We start from the raw sequence: 16830 nt of genomic DNA, 5'->3' as shown, positions 1-16830 counted from the left end.
TGATTGCCTGTGTGATTTTTGTCTGGGTCTTTTGTAGATGTTTTTCAGTTGATCTTAGTATTTTTCTTGGCTTGAATTAAGCAGACATCAGTTTAAATCGCAGGTTAGTTATTTATTAGCCTGTGGCCTTTGACAATTGACTTCTTTTATTTCCTTATCCATAAACGGTAATACCATCACTTCCCTTGATTGGTTATTGTAAGAAGATGAGGTAAGGTATGTAAAGCACCTGGCACATTGTAGATTTTCATTAAAAAGGCAGCCATTATTATGATAGGGTTCCTTTCACATGCAAAGTTTTAAGATTCTTTGAAAGTGCTGTGCTGTGTAGTGGAAAGAGCATGTGCCTTGGAACCAAGCAGACCTGGGTTGGATTCTATCTCTGCCTCTCACTAGCGGTGTCGCTCTGGACAAGTCACTTTTCATTGTGTTTCCGTATTTAGTATTTCTGGACAAAGCCTACTTTGAGAATTTGACATAATGTATATCTAGCACAGTGTCTTGTACTTTGACAGTGTTTGCACTTGTGAATAATAGCTGTTATTAGAGCTGTTCAAAAGAATGGATATGTGAACTTAAGTGAACTTCAAATTTTAATAAAAATAAGAGCATGTTGTGCCCCAACAGGTGTACCTAAAAGGGTATGGACTGGGAAATGGGAGTCTTACATTCTGCCCTAATTGAGGGTGTTTTTTTGTCTAGGTCTGTTGTAGATGGTTTTTATTTCTTTATATTTTTCTTGGCTTTAAATAGTCACTTTGTTCCCTTCTGAGACATGGGGAAGGATAAGAAACCGCATTCTCAGTATGTCCATAAGCCATTGTTTTTAGCTTAGTTTGTTAGAACATGGTGCCGATGAGGCACCAAACTTCAGTTTTGAACTGCAGTTAGGTTAGTTCAGCTTGGCTGAAGAAAACGTTCCAACTTTGACCAGTTGTCTAGCATTTATGTCATTGGTTGTAAGAAATGAAAGTTTACCAAGCTTACTAATTCAACAGAGGCAGTCACTGCTGGAAAGCTAATTCTGTGTTCTGTTACACTGTTAAAGATAGTACAGACGGTCTCCTGTTAGGATGGTTCGACTTAGGATTTTTTGACAGTGGTGTGGAAGTGACAAGCGTTCAGTAAACTCAGCTTCTGGCATTACCTTCAGCAAAATCCGTTGTAAACCAAGGAGCATCTATAATTTCATCTTCCTTTATTTTTTTCATATAATGACTTGGGTTCATTCCCTTAATATAAATATGTTGGCAATTATGAGGTTTTTTTGAGTTGGAGTCTCCCTGTGTTGCCCAAGCTGGTCTCAACTCCTGGGCTCAAGCTATCCTCCTGCCCCAGCCTCTGGGACTACGGGCATGTGCCGCTCCACCAGGCTCAGTCATCATTTATCTTAATGTATAAAGAATAACATTTAGTGAACAACATAAGGCTTTTGGTAACTATGCTGAATATTTATTTATTTATTTGAGACGAGTCTTGCTCTGTCACCCAGGCTGGAGGGCAGTGGCATGATCTCAGCTTGCTGCAACCTCTGCCTCCCAGGTTCAAGTGATTCTCCTGCTTCAGCCTCCTGAGTAGCCAGGATTATAGGCCTGTGCCACCATGCCCTGCTAACTTTTTTGTATGTTTAGTAGAGGGGGGTTTCACCATGTTGGCCAGGCTGGTCTCAAACTCCTGACCTCAAGTGATCTACCCACCTCAGCCTCCCAAAGTGCTGGGATTACAGGTGTGAGCCTCCACACCTGGCTGAATTTATTAATAGATTGTGTTTCTCTATATTGTTGAGGTCCTTAATAGCAATGAAAGGACCTACTTCAAATTTTAAGTTTAAAATTTCTTCTCACCTACCAGGTGTTATTTTTCATGGTATTGTAGGGTCTTGTTTTTTCCCTTTATCCTTAGCAACTGATAGCTTTTCTTCCCTCTTCTGTAAAAGTAACCTATATTTTTACACCTGATTCCAACTTTGAATCTGAAACTACTCTTATGGATTGGATGAGAGGTCACTCTTTTGCCTTGCCCTCTTCTCAAGGCTAAAATAAATTCCTAGAGAGGAAAGACCAAGCATTTTCATTACTCATATTACATGTGGTTGATAGGATTTTTGTGAGCACCTGCTGTGCCTGCTTGGAAAGTGTGCTTACAACTCTATCTTTCGCAAGTTTATCTGAAACATCAAAGCTGTGAGTGAACTCTTCTGGAGCAAATGTCAACTTCAATGAGTATCATTTTCAAAGATATATTTATCATGCTTTCCAGACATAAACGAATGTCCGCAGCTGGGCTTTAAAGTTGCAAGCTGAAATTCACAGGAGCCAGTTATGGCAGTATGGATACTTAATATGGAACGTAACTCATGCTTTGGGAAGTGTTGGCAGTTGAGAGACCGTAAATGAAGAGATTACTTAATATGCGGTATTACTGAGGATTCTGAAGAGAGTATGTTATCAGAGACTACAAATTCGGTCAGCCCTTGGGAGTGTTGAGGAATGTTGTGCAAATTTAGTTAAGTAGTGGATGATTAGTTTCTTTCAGCTTTAGATTCTATGAAGTTTTTGGCTACCATCTTAAGTTATCTAGGATTTTATAAAGGTAGGGATAATGGTTTCTACTAATGACAAATGTAAAGAAACACAGACATAAGCTAAGCATTACATATTTCATATATATCTATCAACATATATATGGGTTCCCTCTCCCCCTTTCTCTTAACTAACTATTTGGGAGTAATTTCTCCCAAATAATAATGGCAGTTTTTGGAGCCTATGTCTTAAAAAGGTAATTGTGAAGCAAACTAATACTCACACAGAAAATGACCTATGCTAAGTGGAAGGAGGATCAAGAGAGAAAAAATGGGTCTGAGTTCTTGAATCAATTTGCTAGGACACATCTGGAAGAAGATAAGATAAACTAATGGAGGCAGGAGGCTGATTTATTTGTCTCATGTGGCTCATAACTTTACCTCTTAGAAGGGCCACTGAAGAATTCCTCTTTTTTTACTCTGTTACCTGGGAGTAGAAATACTTTCTCTTTGTCCAACTCACCCAGTCTCCTGTTTCTGAGAAAATTCTTTCTTTTGGATTGGTGGGTAGTGTTTCTGGCACGGATTTTGGATAAGACCAAACAAGGTGGGTAGGAAGAGATGAGTGGGAAGACTGTAGGAGATGACACATGGCCTTTCCCCCTCTGTGGAGCACATTGGTGTGGTGAGTACCACAAATTTAAACTTGGCAAGCTCTGTTTGCTTAAATTTGTCTTTAGGAGCAATAGAGAATAGGGTGGACAGTCAAGTTCAGTGGGCTGAATATCGGCAGACCTGCTTCTTTTGATTGCCCCTTATATTAGAATGGTGGCTCTTTTAGTTCATAGAGCACTGTGGATCTGTAAGCTGTGGATTCTGGCCAGAACCATGCAATAAGCAGACAGTTTTGCATACAGTTGAGTAATTGACCCACGGACTACTCAGTCTGTGGACCTCAGGGTGTAATTCCCAGTATCAATGTGTGTGGGGATTATTTCACTATTCTTTGCTACAAATAATTTCTGTAAATTGCCCTTGGTATTTGCCTTGATGCAGATTCCAGAGATGTCTGGAAAGCAAGTATAATAGGTATAGGTCATTGTACAGGAAAAGGCTTTGCTTAAACAAGTGCCCGGTTCAGGAAAAGATATGTTTCCTGAAGAAGATACTTTTTTTTTTTTTTTTTTTTTTTTTGAGATAGAATCTCATTCTCTTGCCCATGCTGGAGTGCAGTGGTGCGATCTCGGCTCATTGCAACCTCCACCTTCTGGGTTCAAGCGATTTTCCTACTTCAGCTTCCCAAGTAGCTGGGACTACAGGCACCCACCACCATACCTGGCTAATTTTTTATATTTTTAGTAGAGATGGGGTTTCACCGTGTTAGCCAGGATGGCCTTGATCTTCTGACCTCATGATCTGCCTGCCTTGGCCTCCCAAAGTGCTGGGATTATAGGCGTGAGCCACCACACCTGACCGCAAGATACTTCTTACACAGAGGCTGCCATCGCAGAAGCTTGTGTTGTACTATCGACCCCCATTTTGGGTCATTTTTTATCAGAAAGATGAGTTGTTCTGCAGCTACAGATTGCGTGTATAATCCTGGCCAGCATCTCTAAAGCTTGTCAGCTGCTTCACGAGTGAGTACCCCTGTTCACAGAGGAGATCAGGTGAGTGTGCAGGTCTGAACTTACTACTGCAATGGGAAGGTCAGCTCAGAGAGCATTAACTTTGGATACAGATGATAACACAACAAAACTATTACCTCATATCTACGTCGCTATGAGCAGACTGGGAATAGGGTAATAGTGCTTGGAGTTGGCAGAGGTGCAACAGTAGATGGCCATGGGTGCTGCTTTGGAAGGGCCTAAGGATACAGTTGTTGAATGATTGTAAGAACAAGAGAAAGGTGGAGTCTCAATAAGGCAGCCGTACAATATGTTTATCAAGCCTTCAATAGGTTTAGTATATACTCCTTTGGTGCATGCTTACAAGTTTACTGAACTATAACCAAACATCCCACTGGGAAATGTTTTGAATTGATGTGAGAATTTGACATTAAGTAGCAACTTGGGACATCAGAGAGGCCTCAAAAAGAAAAAAAAGTTAACAAGAAATTAGTGATTAGGTTGAAAGAGACATTCTACTCCTACTACCTAGAGAGCATAGATAGAGAAAAATAAGCACCTTCTATACCCATACCAGGACTTAGGCAGCTGCTGCTTGCAATAGCTGCAGGCCTGGTCCTCATGCACCTTACAGAGAACGAGTCAGTACAAGCTCAGACCCAGTTGATAAAAATGAACCAAAATGAATTAAAAAGTCCCTGTGGTTGGAGCTATATGGGTAATAGCTTTACCAAATATTTGTGTAGCCAATTGTAGTTTATGGTGCAAAACACTAAAATCCCTCCACAGAATCTCTGGGGTAAACATTATTTTCATTTTTTTCAGATGAAAATAGTAACTTTTCAGATGAAAGCTTATAGCTAACACTTGATTTTTGAGATTTATATATATTATATATCAGTTAAAATAGCTTTAAGATTCTAAAAATGTAAGCTTATTTTTTCCTCTTTAAGAGGAAGTGATATTTTTATTACATGCATGGGATTGAAGGGGTGTGTTATTAAAAGTAGAGCATTGGACTAGAGATTGGGGAATTACTGCTTCTGGTCTTGATGCTGCCAGTAACTGAATATTACTCAGGGTCTCTTTTTTTTCTCAAGTATAAATTGAGTCAGTCTTACGGGGATTTTTCTAGGATGTGTCTCAGTTTCTCAGTTTCTCAGATGGGTTTCAGCAACATTCCCAGTGGCTGTCAGTTGTTAGAAGGATGCAGCTGGCTCTGGCATTTTCAAATAGAAAGTCTTCTTGTCTTCCAAGAAGGGAGTCGTAGTTTTTTCCTTCAAAGAGCACACACAGCATTTGATCTGTAGCCTTTCCCTTTTCCATCTTATTTCCATTCTGGTTTGGGCCCTGAGATACAAGTAACAGTTGAGGTATAGACTATTTAGTTCACTGATGTATCACAGGGCCTTGATTAGTGCCTGGCCTGGGAGACATTTGTTGAATGAATGACTTAATATATAGGAGCTTGCAATCTAGTGGAAAGGCAGAAAGGTGAATGTGGAAAGGCTAATTCCTGTTCTTTCATTGAGACTGTATTGGAAGTTTGAGAAAGGAACAGCAGGCACAAGGAATGGTAGCTTTAGGTAGGCAGGGTTGGAATGGAGTGGACAACTGTTTTGGTCAGTGAAGGCTTGGATGTTTAGACTGCGTCTTGAAAGGTGACTCCCTCCCAATGGTACAGGAGAGAGGGCAATGTAGGCGTGTGTAAAGGCAAGGAGATGGACGTAGAACAGGATATGTAATATTAAGGAAAAAAACTGTAGAATTTGAGGTTGGAGAGTTAGGCCATCACCAAATGATGAAGTCTTGAATGCTGTACAAAGAATTTGAATTTTTCTGTAAACAGACAGTAGCTATTGAAGAATTTGAAGTAGGGAGTTACCATTATCACATTTGCATTTTAAGCGGATGGTACAGGAATTAGGGCAGGAGAAATGGGATGAGAGAAGAGAGGAATTCATTAAATATTTAGGGATTGATGAAGTCAGAGCTAAGAATGAGAGAGAAAGAAGAGTTAAGAACAAGCCCTATGTTTGAATTTAGGAAGCTGGGTGTTGGTGGTGTCATTAATGAGGTAAGGAAGGCAGGAGAAAGAGGAGATATGCGGCAAACGTGAGATCAATTTTGGACACTTTGGGTGTGAGGTGCTTCTGGTTTGCCAGAAGGAAGGTGTTCATTAGGCACTTCAGTGTGGAGACCGGGCTTCTGAGAGATAGGTCTTAAGCTCGAGTGAATGCATTTATTAATGGAATTTATTAGTTTATCAACAACAGTTAGAAATCAAGAGATTGGATGAGAGTGCCAGTACAAGGGCACATAGAATGAGAAGGGCCCTTCAGCATTGAAGTGCAGGCAGGAGAGGGGAAGCTGCAAAAGAGATAAAATGTGGCCAGAGTCCTAGGAGAACCAGGACAGCAGGATGTCAGAAAAGCCAAGGGAGGGCTTTCCAGAAGACGGGAGTGGCCAGAGGTGTTAGATGCTAAAGGGAAGCCATATAAATAAGGCATTTTATAAATATAAAATATTTATTTACATAAATATCAAAAGTTATTTATTTGGTCATTGGTGACTTCTACCAGAGAATGTTCACTGTTGCACTGAGGGTAAAAGCCAGAGAGTGGTGAGTTCAGGAAGTGGAAATGGGAAGGAGACCCTTGATACAGGAGGAGGATCACTCAGTTACTTGAAATGGAAATCCTGGGGTCTTCCTTGATGACTTCTGCTTTACTCCCACATCTACTCAGATACTGGGTAGTGATGCTGAGGGATGTTTGAGTGGGATCTTTTTTTTTTTTTTTTGAGACGGAGTCTCACTCTGTTGCCCAGGCTGTGGCGCGATCTCACTGCAAGCTCTGCCTCCCGGGTTCACGCCATTCTCCTGCCTCAGCCTCCTGAGTAGCTGGGACTACAGGCGCCCGCCACCACGCCCAGCTAATTTTTTGTATTTTTAGTAGAGATGGGGTTTCACCATGTTAGCCAGGATGGTCTCGATCTCCTGACCTCGTGATCCGCCCACCTCGGCCTCCTAAAGTGCAGGGATTACAGATGCGAGCCACCATGCCTGGCCTTGAGTGGGATCTTGAGACTCAGACTTTTTGGGTTTGAATCCTTCCTCTGCTACTGATAAAGTATCTGATCCAGGGCCAGTTATTTAATCCGGCTATGCTTCAGTTTTTTCACCTATAAAATAGAGATACAAAAGTATCTATCTCATAGGCCTGTGAAGGAGTAAATAAGTGAAGTGCCTAGCTTAGTGTAGCGCCTGGCACATAATAAGCACTCAGTGAATGTTAGTATTTTAAATCCTAAATACCTTTTAAGTGTGTTCTCCCCTGGATTACCATAATAGCTTTTTTTTTTTAAAGTTTATTAAAGTAAATTGTTGTAGAGTAATTTACATGCCATGAAATTCATCCATTTTAAGTTTACATTCCAACACTTTTTTTTTTTTTTTCTAGATAGGGTCTTGCTCTGTTGCCCAAGCTGGAGCACAGTGGCATGATCATGGCTCATTGCAGCCTTGACCTCCTGGGCTCAAGTGATCCTCCCTCCTCAGCCTCCCGAGTAGCAATTCAACACTTGATGAATTTACTGAGTTGTGCAAACATCACTACAATGCAATTTTAGAATATTTTTATCACCCCAATAAGATCTCTTGTGCCTGTTTACAGTTAATCCCTATTCCCACCCCAGCTCTAGGCAACTACTTAATCTACTCTATAGGGATGCTTTTTCTGGGTGTTTCATATAAATAGAATCATTCAATATGTGGCCCTTGTGTTTGCTTCTTTCACTTAGCTTAATGATTTTTAGGTCTATCTGTACGGTAGCACATGTCATAACTTCACTGCTCTTTATTGCTGAGTTGTATAGTGTTGTATGGATATGTAAGATTTTGTTTATCCATTCACCGTAGATAGACATGTGTTTGTTTCCACCCTTGCTCTTATGAATAATGCTGCTATGAACATTCCTGTGCAAGTCTTTGTGTGGACATATGCTTAATAGCTTCTTAATTGGTCCTTTAGCCTCCTTCAGGGATCCTGCTTCTGTTCTTGTCCCCCTCCAATCTGTTCTCTACATTGTAGCCAGAGTGATTTTCCTAAAGTGTAAATCTGATCGTGCCATTCCCCTGCTTAAAATCCTTCAGTAGTGCTCAGGTACCCTCAGGGTCAAGTTCAAACTGTTTCAATTGAAGAGTTCACTAAGAATCTTCAAAATTTGGAATCTCTACCTTCCCTCCCCACCTTCTCTTTCACTATGCCCTCTCTCTATTTTCTTGCTTCAGCCATTTATTCATGTTGTTTCATTCATTCATTTAACATTCATTCATTGAATTAACTAGGCTTAGTGAGGCTCTGGGAGTATAGCGATAGGACAGCCAAATCCTTGCTTTCAGGGAGCTTTCTTTCTAGTGAAAGGCAGATGGTAAACAAGCAAGTCTCAGGTAGTGGTTAAGTGCTGTAAAGAAAATAAAAAAGGATGACGCGATAGTAACTGTGGGAATGATGACTCTCAAATCCGCAAGGCTGTGTGTTCCTCAGAGCCTCTGCTCTATTGCCAGCTGCCTACTTGATATCTCCACTTGGATGTCTAACGGTGGCAAATTCTGGTTTTCATCTGTACTTTAATGTGATTTTTCTCACCCAGGAGCACTTTCATCCTACTGCATCTCTTCCTATCTTTTACTCCTCCTTACCTTGTAAATCTTCCCTAATCCTCTGTTCCAGCCCTGCCTTCAAAGCCTGGCTACATGTGCTGCCCATTGTGTTTTCTGTATACTTGCATTACATGCTGACTCACTCAGGTAGCACTCTTCATGTTGTATTTAAATGCCTGATGGTTGTTTATTCTGTTATGCTTTAAGCACTTGATAATTTTGAATACTCAGAGTCTAGCCTAGTTTCTGGCACATAGTTGATCCATCATGAAATCTGTTGAAAGAGCGATTGTATGTGGTTAGCTTTGAACAGGAGGGAGGGAGGGAGGGGAGAGGGAAGGAACACTTTCCTTCGGGACTAGAGGGAGGGAAGGAGCTAAGGCCCATTAATGCATGAATAAGTGTGTAGGATTAGGGGAGGAAAGTTGAAGTTTATATAGCATACATTTCCCCAGAGATTACAATTTTGTGCATAGTATAAAATGAAGAGTGTAGTTATTTATAATGAACAATTAGCAGTGCATTAGAAAAAATAAAGGAGTAGTGCTGTGGGGTGCATCTCGAAATCTTAAAATTATTCTTCCTTCTGGTTTTATGGCTGTTAGATTTAACCTAATTTCTTTAGGGCATTCGTCATATGTATGGATATGGATGACTAAATTACTTGGATGTTATTGCACTGGTTTTTGATCTTGCTGTTTTATAATTGATTTTATTTTGATGTTGCTTTTCCAGCTTTCGGAAAATGTGATTGATCGAATGAAGGAATCCTCTCCATCTGGTTCGAAGTCTCAGCGGTATTCTGGTGCTTATGGTGCCTCAGGTATTGCTGAATTTTAATTTTAGGGTTTTTAGGAGATAAATTATAAGTGGAAAAAGTTGACTCAATAGTCAAGTTCTCTAGCATTCTGTCTTTCGTTATTTAGATGTTTAGCTTTTAATAAGGAATATTAGAAATCAGTATTGGGGTTTCTTTTAAAATGTTTTGTACTAAGAATGAAACTATTTTCAAACAGTCTTTGAAAATTTTGTTTTCTCTTCCCACTCTTGAATCCTCTACTAGGCTTTGGAAAGTTACTTCATATCTTTTTGTGTAAAATGGATTGCTTATAGGGATATTAGAGATTTAGGAATAAATATTTATTTAAAAAATCGAACTTAGAAAATATTGATTTGCTATTTTCAAATTGTGAAGTATTCCAAATGATTTTATTTTCTAATAAATTTCTTCTAAGTTTATAAAAGGTTTAGTTTGTCACAGTCAGTCTTAGTTATTGATGGAAATGTGGTGGTAAATAAAATCCATAAAGAATTATTAAGCCTAATTTTATCTGTAGGTCCTGCTGGATAAGAGACTTAATGCTGTTTCTTCTCCCTTTTCTCTCTCCTGCCACACTCATCTGTTTATCCAGTATTTTACTAAGCACCAGCTATGTGTCCAGCACTGTTCTTGATACTGCCCAGTTGATGGATAGATACGCTATTTATTGTGAAATGGCAACAAGAAAATAATTGGGATGATTAATTTTGGACTAAGTGAGATTTTCCTGTACTTATTAGAAAGGGGGAAATCTGGCTATAGACTGTGAAATTGAGAAAGACGAGATCCTGCCCAAATGCCATTCACTTGGGCCAATTGTGACCCCCCCCGCCCCGCCCCTTACTAATCATTAAGTCAGTAAACATGAATTGAGCTTCTGATACGTTTAGAGGAAAGGGTACCAAGATGAATAAGAATGACTTCTTGCCCCTTTGAAGCTTCTTGTTTAGTAGGAGAGTTGAGGATTCACAGTTAATTAACGCTAGATAGAAAGTGAGCATGCCTTCCTTGTTAGAAACCCTTGTTTTGGCTTCTGGACCACACTCTTGGTTTTCCTTTCACCCTACTTGCAACCCTCAGTCCAGGGTTCTTTGTTGATTTCTACTAAGTAATCTTGTCCCAATATACGGTTTTGAAATCGTTATCTAGATGCCTGTGACTCCCAAAATTATATCTCTAGCCCTGACCTTTCCCTGAAATTCCAGACATTATAATAGACAACTGCCTACTTAAAATCTCCCCTTACAGATTCCTCAACTTGACATATCCCAAATCAACCTTTATTTTCACCCCCAGACTTGCTTTTCTTCTCTGTCTTTCCCACTAAATGGCACAGGTAGTCAGGTCCCCAATTGGGGATTCATCCTTGTTTTCTTTTTTCCTTACACCTTACATCAGACTGTTAGCTAGTCTTGTCAACTCCATCTCTAAAACATGTCTAAATATGTTCCTTTTGCATCTGTCTCCTCTGCTATATCTCCAATCCAGATAGATAACTGTCGTCTTCTGTGGAAGTCTCTTAACTGGCTCCCTGCTTCACTCTTTCCCCCTGTGCTGTGCACACAGAAGTCCTCACAATCTTTTGAAGAAAAGCAAATCAGGTCAAGTCATGTCCCAGTGGTGGCTCTCCATGGTACACAGAATATAGTCTGAGCTGCTTCCCTGGGCTTCCATCATATATCATGACTGGTCCCTCTCTGCCTTCCAACATCATCACATTATTCATCATCTCCTATCACCTTTCCTCTACTTATTCACTGTGACTGCTATCTTCACTAGAAGAGAAGCTCCAGGGACCTTATTCCTCATTTGTTTGTTCACAGCTGAATTCTTAGCTCCTAGGATAGTGTAACCTGCTTCTTAGTAAGTGCTTATTATCGTTTGTTGAATTAATTTAAGGGCATTATCCATTTTAAAAGTAGCTACTTTTGTTCATTCTGGAGAGTTCTATACATTTAATTCAGGTGACATATATTGAATGTTTCTATTATGTAAATAAATAAGCCACGTTTTTATTTTTTTTTTTCTTTTGAGATGGAGTCTCGCTGTCTCCCAGGCTGGAGTGCAGTGGCGTGATCTTGGCTCACTGCAAGCTCCGCCTCCTGGGTTCATGCCATTCTCCTGCCTCAGTCTCCTGAGTAGCTGGGACTACAGGCTCCCACCACCACGCCCGGCTAATTTTTTATATTTTTAGTAGAGACGGGGTTTCACCGTGTTAGCCAGGATGGTCTAAATCTCCTGACCTCGTGATCCGCCCGCCTCGACCTCCCAAAGTGCTGGGATTACAGGCGTGAGCCACCGTGCCCGGCCAAGCCAGGTATTTTGAAAAGATGCAAAAATAGGAAAAAGTTTTTTTTGACAGATAAACTACATATATAACAAGACTGTAAGGGAGGTAGAAACATAGTATAAAAGAAACCTAGGAGATACTGAAAATAAGTTTATCAAATATTTTGGCTTAAGAAGATGCCTTGTCGTGCAGAAACAAATGGCTGTCCAGTTTATTAAAATGCCCAACAACTGCACTTCCAGTCACTCGGGTCTTGCATATAAATACCACTGCATACAGTGAGCACATCTAGCTGATGATAAATATACCTTTGCTTCCTCCTCTTCCTCAAAATGGTGAATCTGTTCTTATCTACATGTATGAACTTAAAATACGGAAAATGTTAAGGGAGCAAATGGTTTGTAACTTTGTAAGTACTTATGACGTGTATCTTTTTGCTTATGAATATTCTGTGCTATAACCATTGTTTCTGTAGTTTAATTAAAACATTTTCTTGGTGTTAAAAAAAGAATGATGATATATGGATACATTTAAAATTGGAATTTGTTCTAAAGTATGATTTGTTGTAGGTAGATTTTTTTTCCTACCTCCTGTGTTACGGAGTTAGCGTGATGATCATGATGATTCAATATACTGAAGTAATGATAGATGACACTTAAAATTTATTACATTGTAGGTACTCTGCTAAATCCTGTGTACGTCTTATCTCATTTCATCCTTATAACCCTATGAAGAAGGACCTGTGATAACCCATTTTATGTAGAAAGAAACTGAGACTTGAAGTGATTAATTATTTTGCCCAAAGTCACACAGCTGGTGAGCAATGGAGATGAGAGTTACATTCAAGTTTGTCTGACTCCAGAGCAAATGCTGTTAACCACTTTGTCTTATTTTAATTTGAATGACATCTTGCTTTAGAAAGGACGTGATAGAAACTAGTTGGAATGAAGGAGCTGCTTTTTAGTGATGTTCTGCTTGAACTAAGGAAAGAACCCGTTGTCTATAAGTAATTGTTGGTTGTTCTAGCTTTTTCCCATATTGGCCTGAGTGGAAGGAGAGAAAATGTTTTCTCTCTTGGGTTGTTTTGATATTTCGAGAGAGTGGGGATGGGTCGGGAGGTTTTCTATGAGTGCCTGTGGTGTGTCTGGCCCGAAGAGCATGCCACTGATGTGAAGAGTTCTGGCTTTGCTGAGGGACCCATCCCTTCTCACTCCCCATTTGAAATGACTGATGAACTCTTTGGTCCATGACCAGCTGTGACCAGCCTGGGCACTGAAAGCTCTTAGAATGCCATCTTGTGGGCCAGGCTTGGTGGCTCATGCCTGTAATCCCATCACTTTGAGAGGCTGAGGTGGGAGGATCACCTGAGGTCAGGAGTTTGAGACCAGCCTGCCTAACATGGTGAATCCCTATCTCTACTAAAAATACAAAAAATAGCTGGGCGTGGTGGCACATGCCTGTAATCCCAGCTACTCAGGATACTGAGGCATGAGAATCGATTGAACCTGGGAGGCGGAAGTTGCAGTAAGCCGAGATTGTGCCACTGCACTTCAGCCTGGGCAACAGAGTGAGACTCCATCTCAAAAAAAAAAAAAAAAGTATGCCATCTTGTGTTTTAGTGGTCAGGCTAGAACTACACTTTCCAAATGGTAGCCACTAGTCACATGTGGCTCTTAAAAGTTAAGTGAAAATTAAGTCGATCAAATGAAAACTTTAGCTCTGAAGTTGCACTCTTCACATTTTATGCTCAGTAACCGCATGTGGCTTTTGACTACCATATTGGAAAGTGTAGATATAGGGCATTTCTATTATTGCAGACAGTTCTGTTGCATAGCTCTGATCTGGAACACACCAGTGCTTTTTATTTTCTATCTGCACCATGATGTGAAAAAGACTCAACAAGGCTCATAGGACAGGTTCTTTGAGTACATGATTTCTCTCACCCTTTCCAACCTAACCCAAGAAAAGAACTAAAATTTGGCATGCTATTTTGAAATGATCTTGCTTTAGGTTAAGAATGCAATTCAACTATGTGTAAATTAACAAAGATTTATTCTTCTTAGAATTAAAAAAATAGGCTTATAAAAGCATGAAGCTTGAACATTTATGTTTTGTTCTGAGTTTGTCTCATTTAGGAGTTTTAGTTAGTACTCAATAATAGATTTCTTAGGATTTAAAATTTAGATGTGTTATGAAATAATTTTTCAAGCCTACAAAAATGTATTGATAAAAATGTCACTCGCCTTTTTTACATTTTTCAGTGTGAAGTAAATTATATATTAAATGTGAGTTAAATTTTAAGTATTTATTAAAAAGCCTTCTTTCTCACAGGACTCTTAGTCATACCAGCCCTAGGCTATTCATATGTGTGAATATAGGGCAGTGTATTTGATGAACTGAGAGCCCTAGGATTTCTGTATATAGGAACTCAATTTTGTCATAAAAATAGTTTTGAGAATACATTTTATACTATAAGAAAGTGGGTTCCTCTGAAGACTTTACTGAAACTTTTTTTTCATAAAAAATATAATTTTTTTGCTAAACCTTGAACCAGATCAGTGGCTCGTTGCAGTAAGTATTCGCATGTAAAGCTGTTTGGGCAAAATAATATACTGTGTGACACACAGCAGATTGTAATGCCACTTTAATAAATGAATGTGCTCTCAATAACTTAACTGTGTCCTTGCTGCCTCAATTTTTTTGCTGCGTTATCTCAACTATATTGGTTTGCTTTTATACCAGATAATTTTTTTCTTAGGCTGACATAAGGAGATGTCATTGCATATAGTTATAAACTTACCTTTTCATTAACATCTTGCATCTTTTGATTTTAAAAAATCAATTTTGGGTGCTGATTGTTTCCTTTCAACCTGATCTTTTAGTTTTTCTGGCTTATAATGAGGTCAGACCTCTCATGGTTGACCCTACCTACCGCTGAAGAATCTGTCCCCAAATCAATATGAAGAAACAGACAGGAAATGATATTAGGAGATGTTTTGTTGTTTTCGTAAGCTACTGGCAACCAGATAAAAATGATGAATCTGGAAAAAAACAAGACAAATGACCTAACTTTTATTATCATCCTCACTGTAGAAGTTTCTCTGTAAATTTCTCGTCATTGTGAAAAATAAGAAAGATTTGCCAGTTTGTGTTAAGTATATCACTGAGATCACTAAGTATTTGGCAGCCTTAACAAATTGCAGGAAACCAATTTGAGCAGGAAATAACACAGCCTAAACTAAACAGCCAATTTTGGGAAACAGATTCATGTATAAGTTCTGTGTATTTTTCTCCCAGAATCTGGCCCTCCTAGTTATTTTTAAACAGCTCTTTAAGGCTCATTTAGACATAACACTGTAGGGAGAGTTCAGAGAAAATAAGCTTATTCCTTTGACTCGAGTTACAAGAACTGAACATCTAGGTTTCCAACTTTTAATATGTGAAACTTTGTGGATGCCAGTGTCTCAACTGTGTACTTTTTTTGTGGGCTGTAATGGTTGATTTGCCTGACTGTTCCTAATAGTAAGAAACCTAATTGCTATTGAATTAAAGGCATTAAATCTAATTCTCTAAGTCAGCATATTCTGCTCTGAAAAAGAAATCTGCCAACAGTCTAGGGTTGAAGAACTCATGGTTGGTTCCATCAGTCAACAAGTGTTAGCATGGCCGCCATCTTTGACCTTCAAGGAATTACTAGTTTGGTCAAAGCATATTTAATGTTACAGTGTAGTGAATGAGTACTAGTTTAGTCGCCTCCTCTGTTAATATTTTTGAGAAGGTGAATCAACATGTGAGTGAGATAGAATGTATAAGAGGTATGGAAAGTGCTTTAGGAATTTAGAGAAAGAGTGTCAGGAGCTTTGGCAGGCAGGCCTGGCATCAGGGGAAGTGAACTTGAGCCAAACTTGAGGCTAAGAGGGATGGGAGGGGGGTTAGAGTAGAAGGTAATCCTGGTAGAGTTAGCACACAGACCAGATTAATTCAGATAAAGGTTTCTTGTAGGGTCTCATGGGTGGGTAGGTTGAAGTCAATGAGTTTAATTCTATCCTATAGGGCCTGGGCAGCTTCAGAGCTGTTCTATCTCATTTTAGGATGCAAGTCTGGAAAGTTACATTAGTTGTGCCTTCAGATATACCCAGATATTAGTAACATTTTTATTCGTAAAGATATAGTGCTGGTTTTCTTATTGATATTTTTATATCCAATAAACAAATCCGAGTGGTAAGAATATGTATTTTCCACCATAGTACTAAATAAAACCATTTTCATCTTCAGTTAAGTAAAGAAGCAGCCCCATAAGCATTTTTGTTTGTCCGTAATTGGCCCTATTGCAGAAAGAAAGAAAGAAAGTTGCCCTCAAATGCGTGAGACAGCATGGCAGGCTAGGGTGTAACAGATGAGTTCTGAGCAGGGAAGGTGAATGAAGCAAGTGGATCCTTGGAAAGATAAGGTAAAGAAAGGATGTTAGTTGGAAACTAGCAATCAGGAAGGTCAGCTGCTGCCTGGTCTAGGTAGAGTGGCAGGGCAGAGGAGGGCTTGGCTGGATATGGTAACTACTGCTCCATGGATGGGTAGTGACAGTCCTTGACTCACGCTTCAGTCCTTTTCTCCCCAGGCCTAGGACACCTTTTCTCTGTGCTACTTGATTCATCTCTATGTTGGATTTATTTTTGAGAATCCAGAAAACCTTTAGGCTGACTTTATTTTAAAATTGAGAGGAGGGCATAGAAAACTTCCTTTCTTGTCATTAGCAATGTGTTTTGTATTCCGTGGTATTTTAGAATGGTCAAAAGGGAGTCACACAAAGAAAGTGCTGCAGTGGGAGAGAGAATGAACTAGAGATAAAGCTTGGTAGGTTCTGAAACATCAGTGAGTTACATCTTCCGATCGTTTTCTGTGACTAGGAACTTC

At 39.5% G+C, this 16830-nt stretch overlaps 1 protein-coding gene across 4 annotated transcripts in view; it reads left to right on the top strand.

The window, feature by feature from the left end:
* CHCHD3 (coiled-coil-helix-coiled-coil-helix domain containing 3) overlaps positions 1 to 16830 on the top strand; it is a 297221-nt gene that overhangs the window by 2317 nt on the left and 278074 nt on the right. For all 4 annotated transcript variants that reach the window (NR_133671.2, NM_017812.4, NM_001317177.2 and 1 more), the window contains exon 2: positions 9545 to 9632. Coding sequence is in view for 3 of the 4 variants with exons in the window: in NM_017812.4 (NP_060282.1) it covers positions 9545 to 9632 (88 nt within the window). In the remaining variant the exon portion in view is untranslated. The remainder of the gene's footprint in view (positions 1 to 9544; positions 9633 to 16830) is intronic.

Source organism: Homo sapiens, chromosome 7 (assembly GCF_000001405.40).
Source record: "Homo sapiens chromosome 7, GRCh38.p14 Primary Assembly".
Classification (NCBI taxonomy): Eukaryota; Metazoa; Chordata; class Mammalia; order Primates; family Hominidae; genus Homo; species Homo sapiens.
This window is presented reverse-complemented; position numbering and strand designations above follow the sequence as displayed.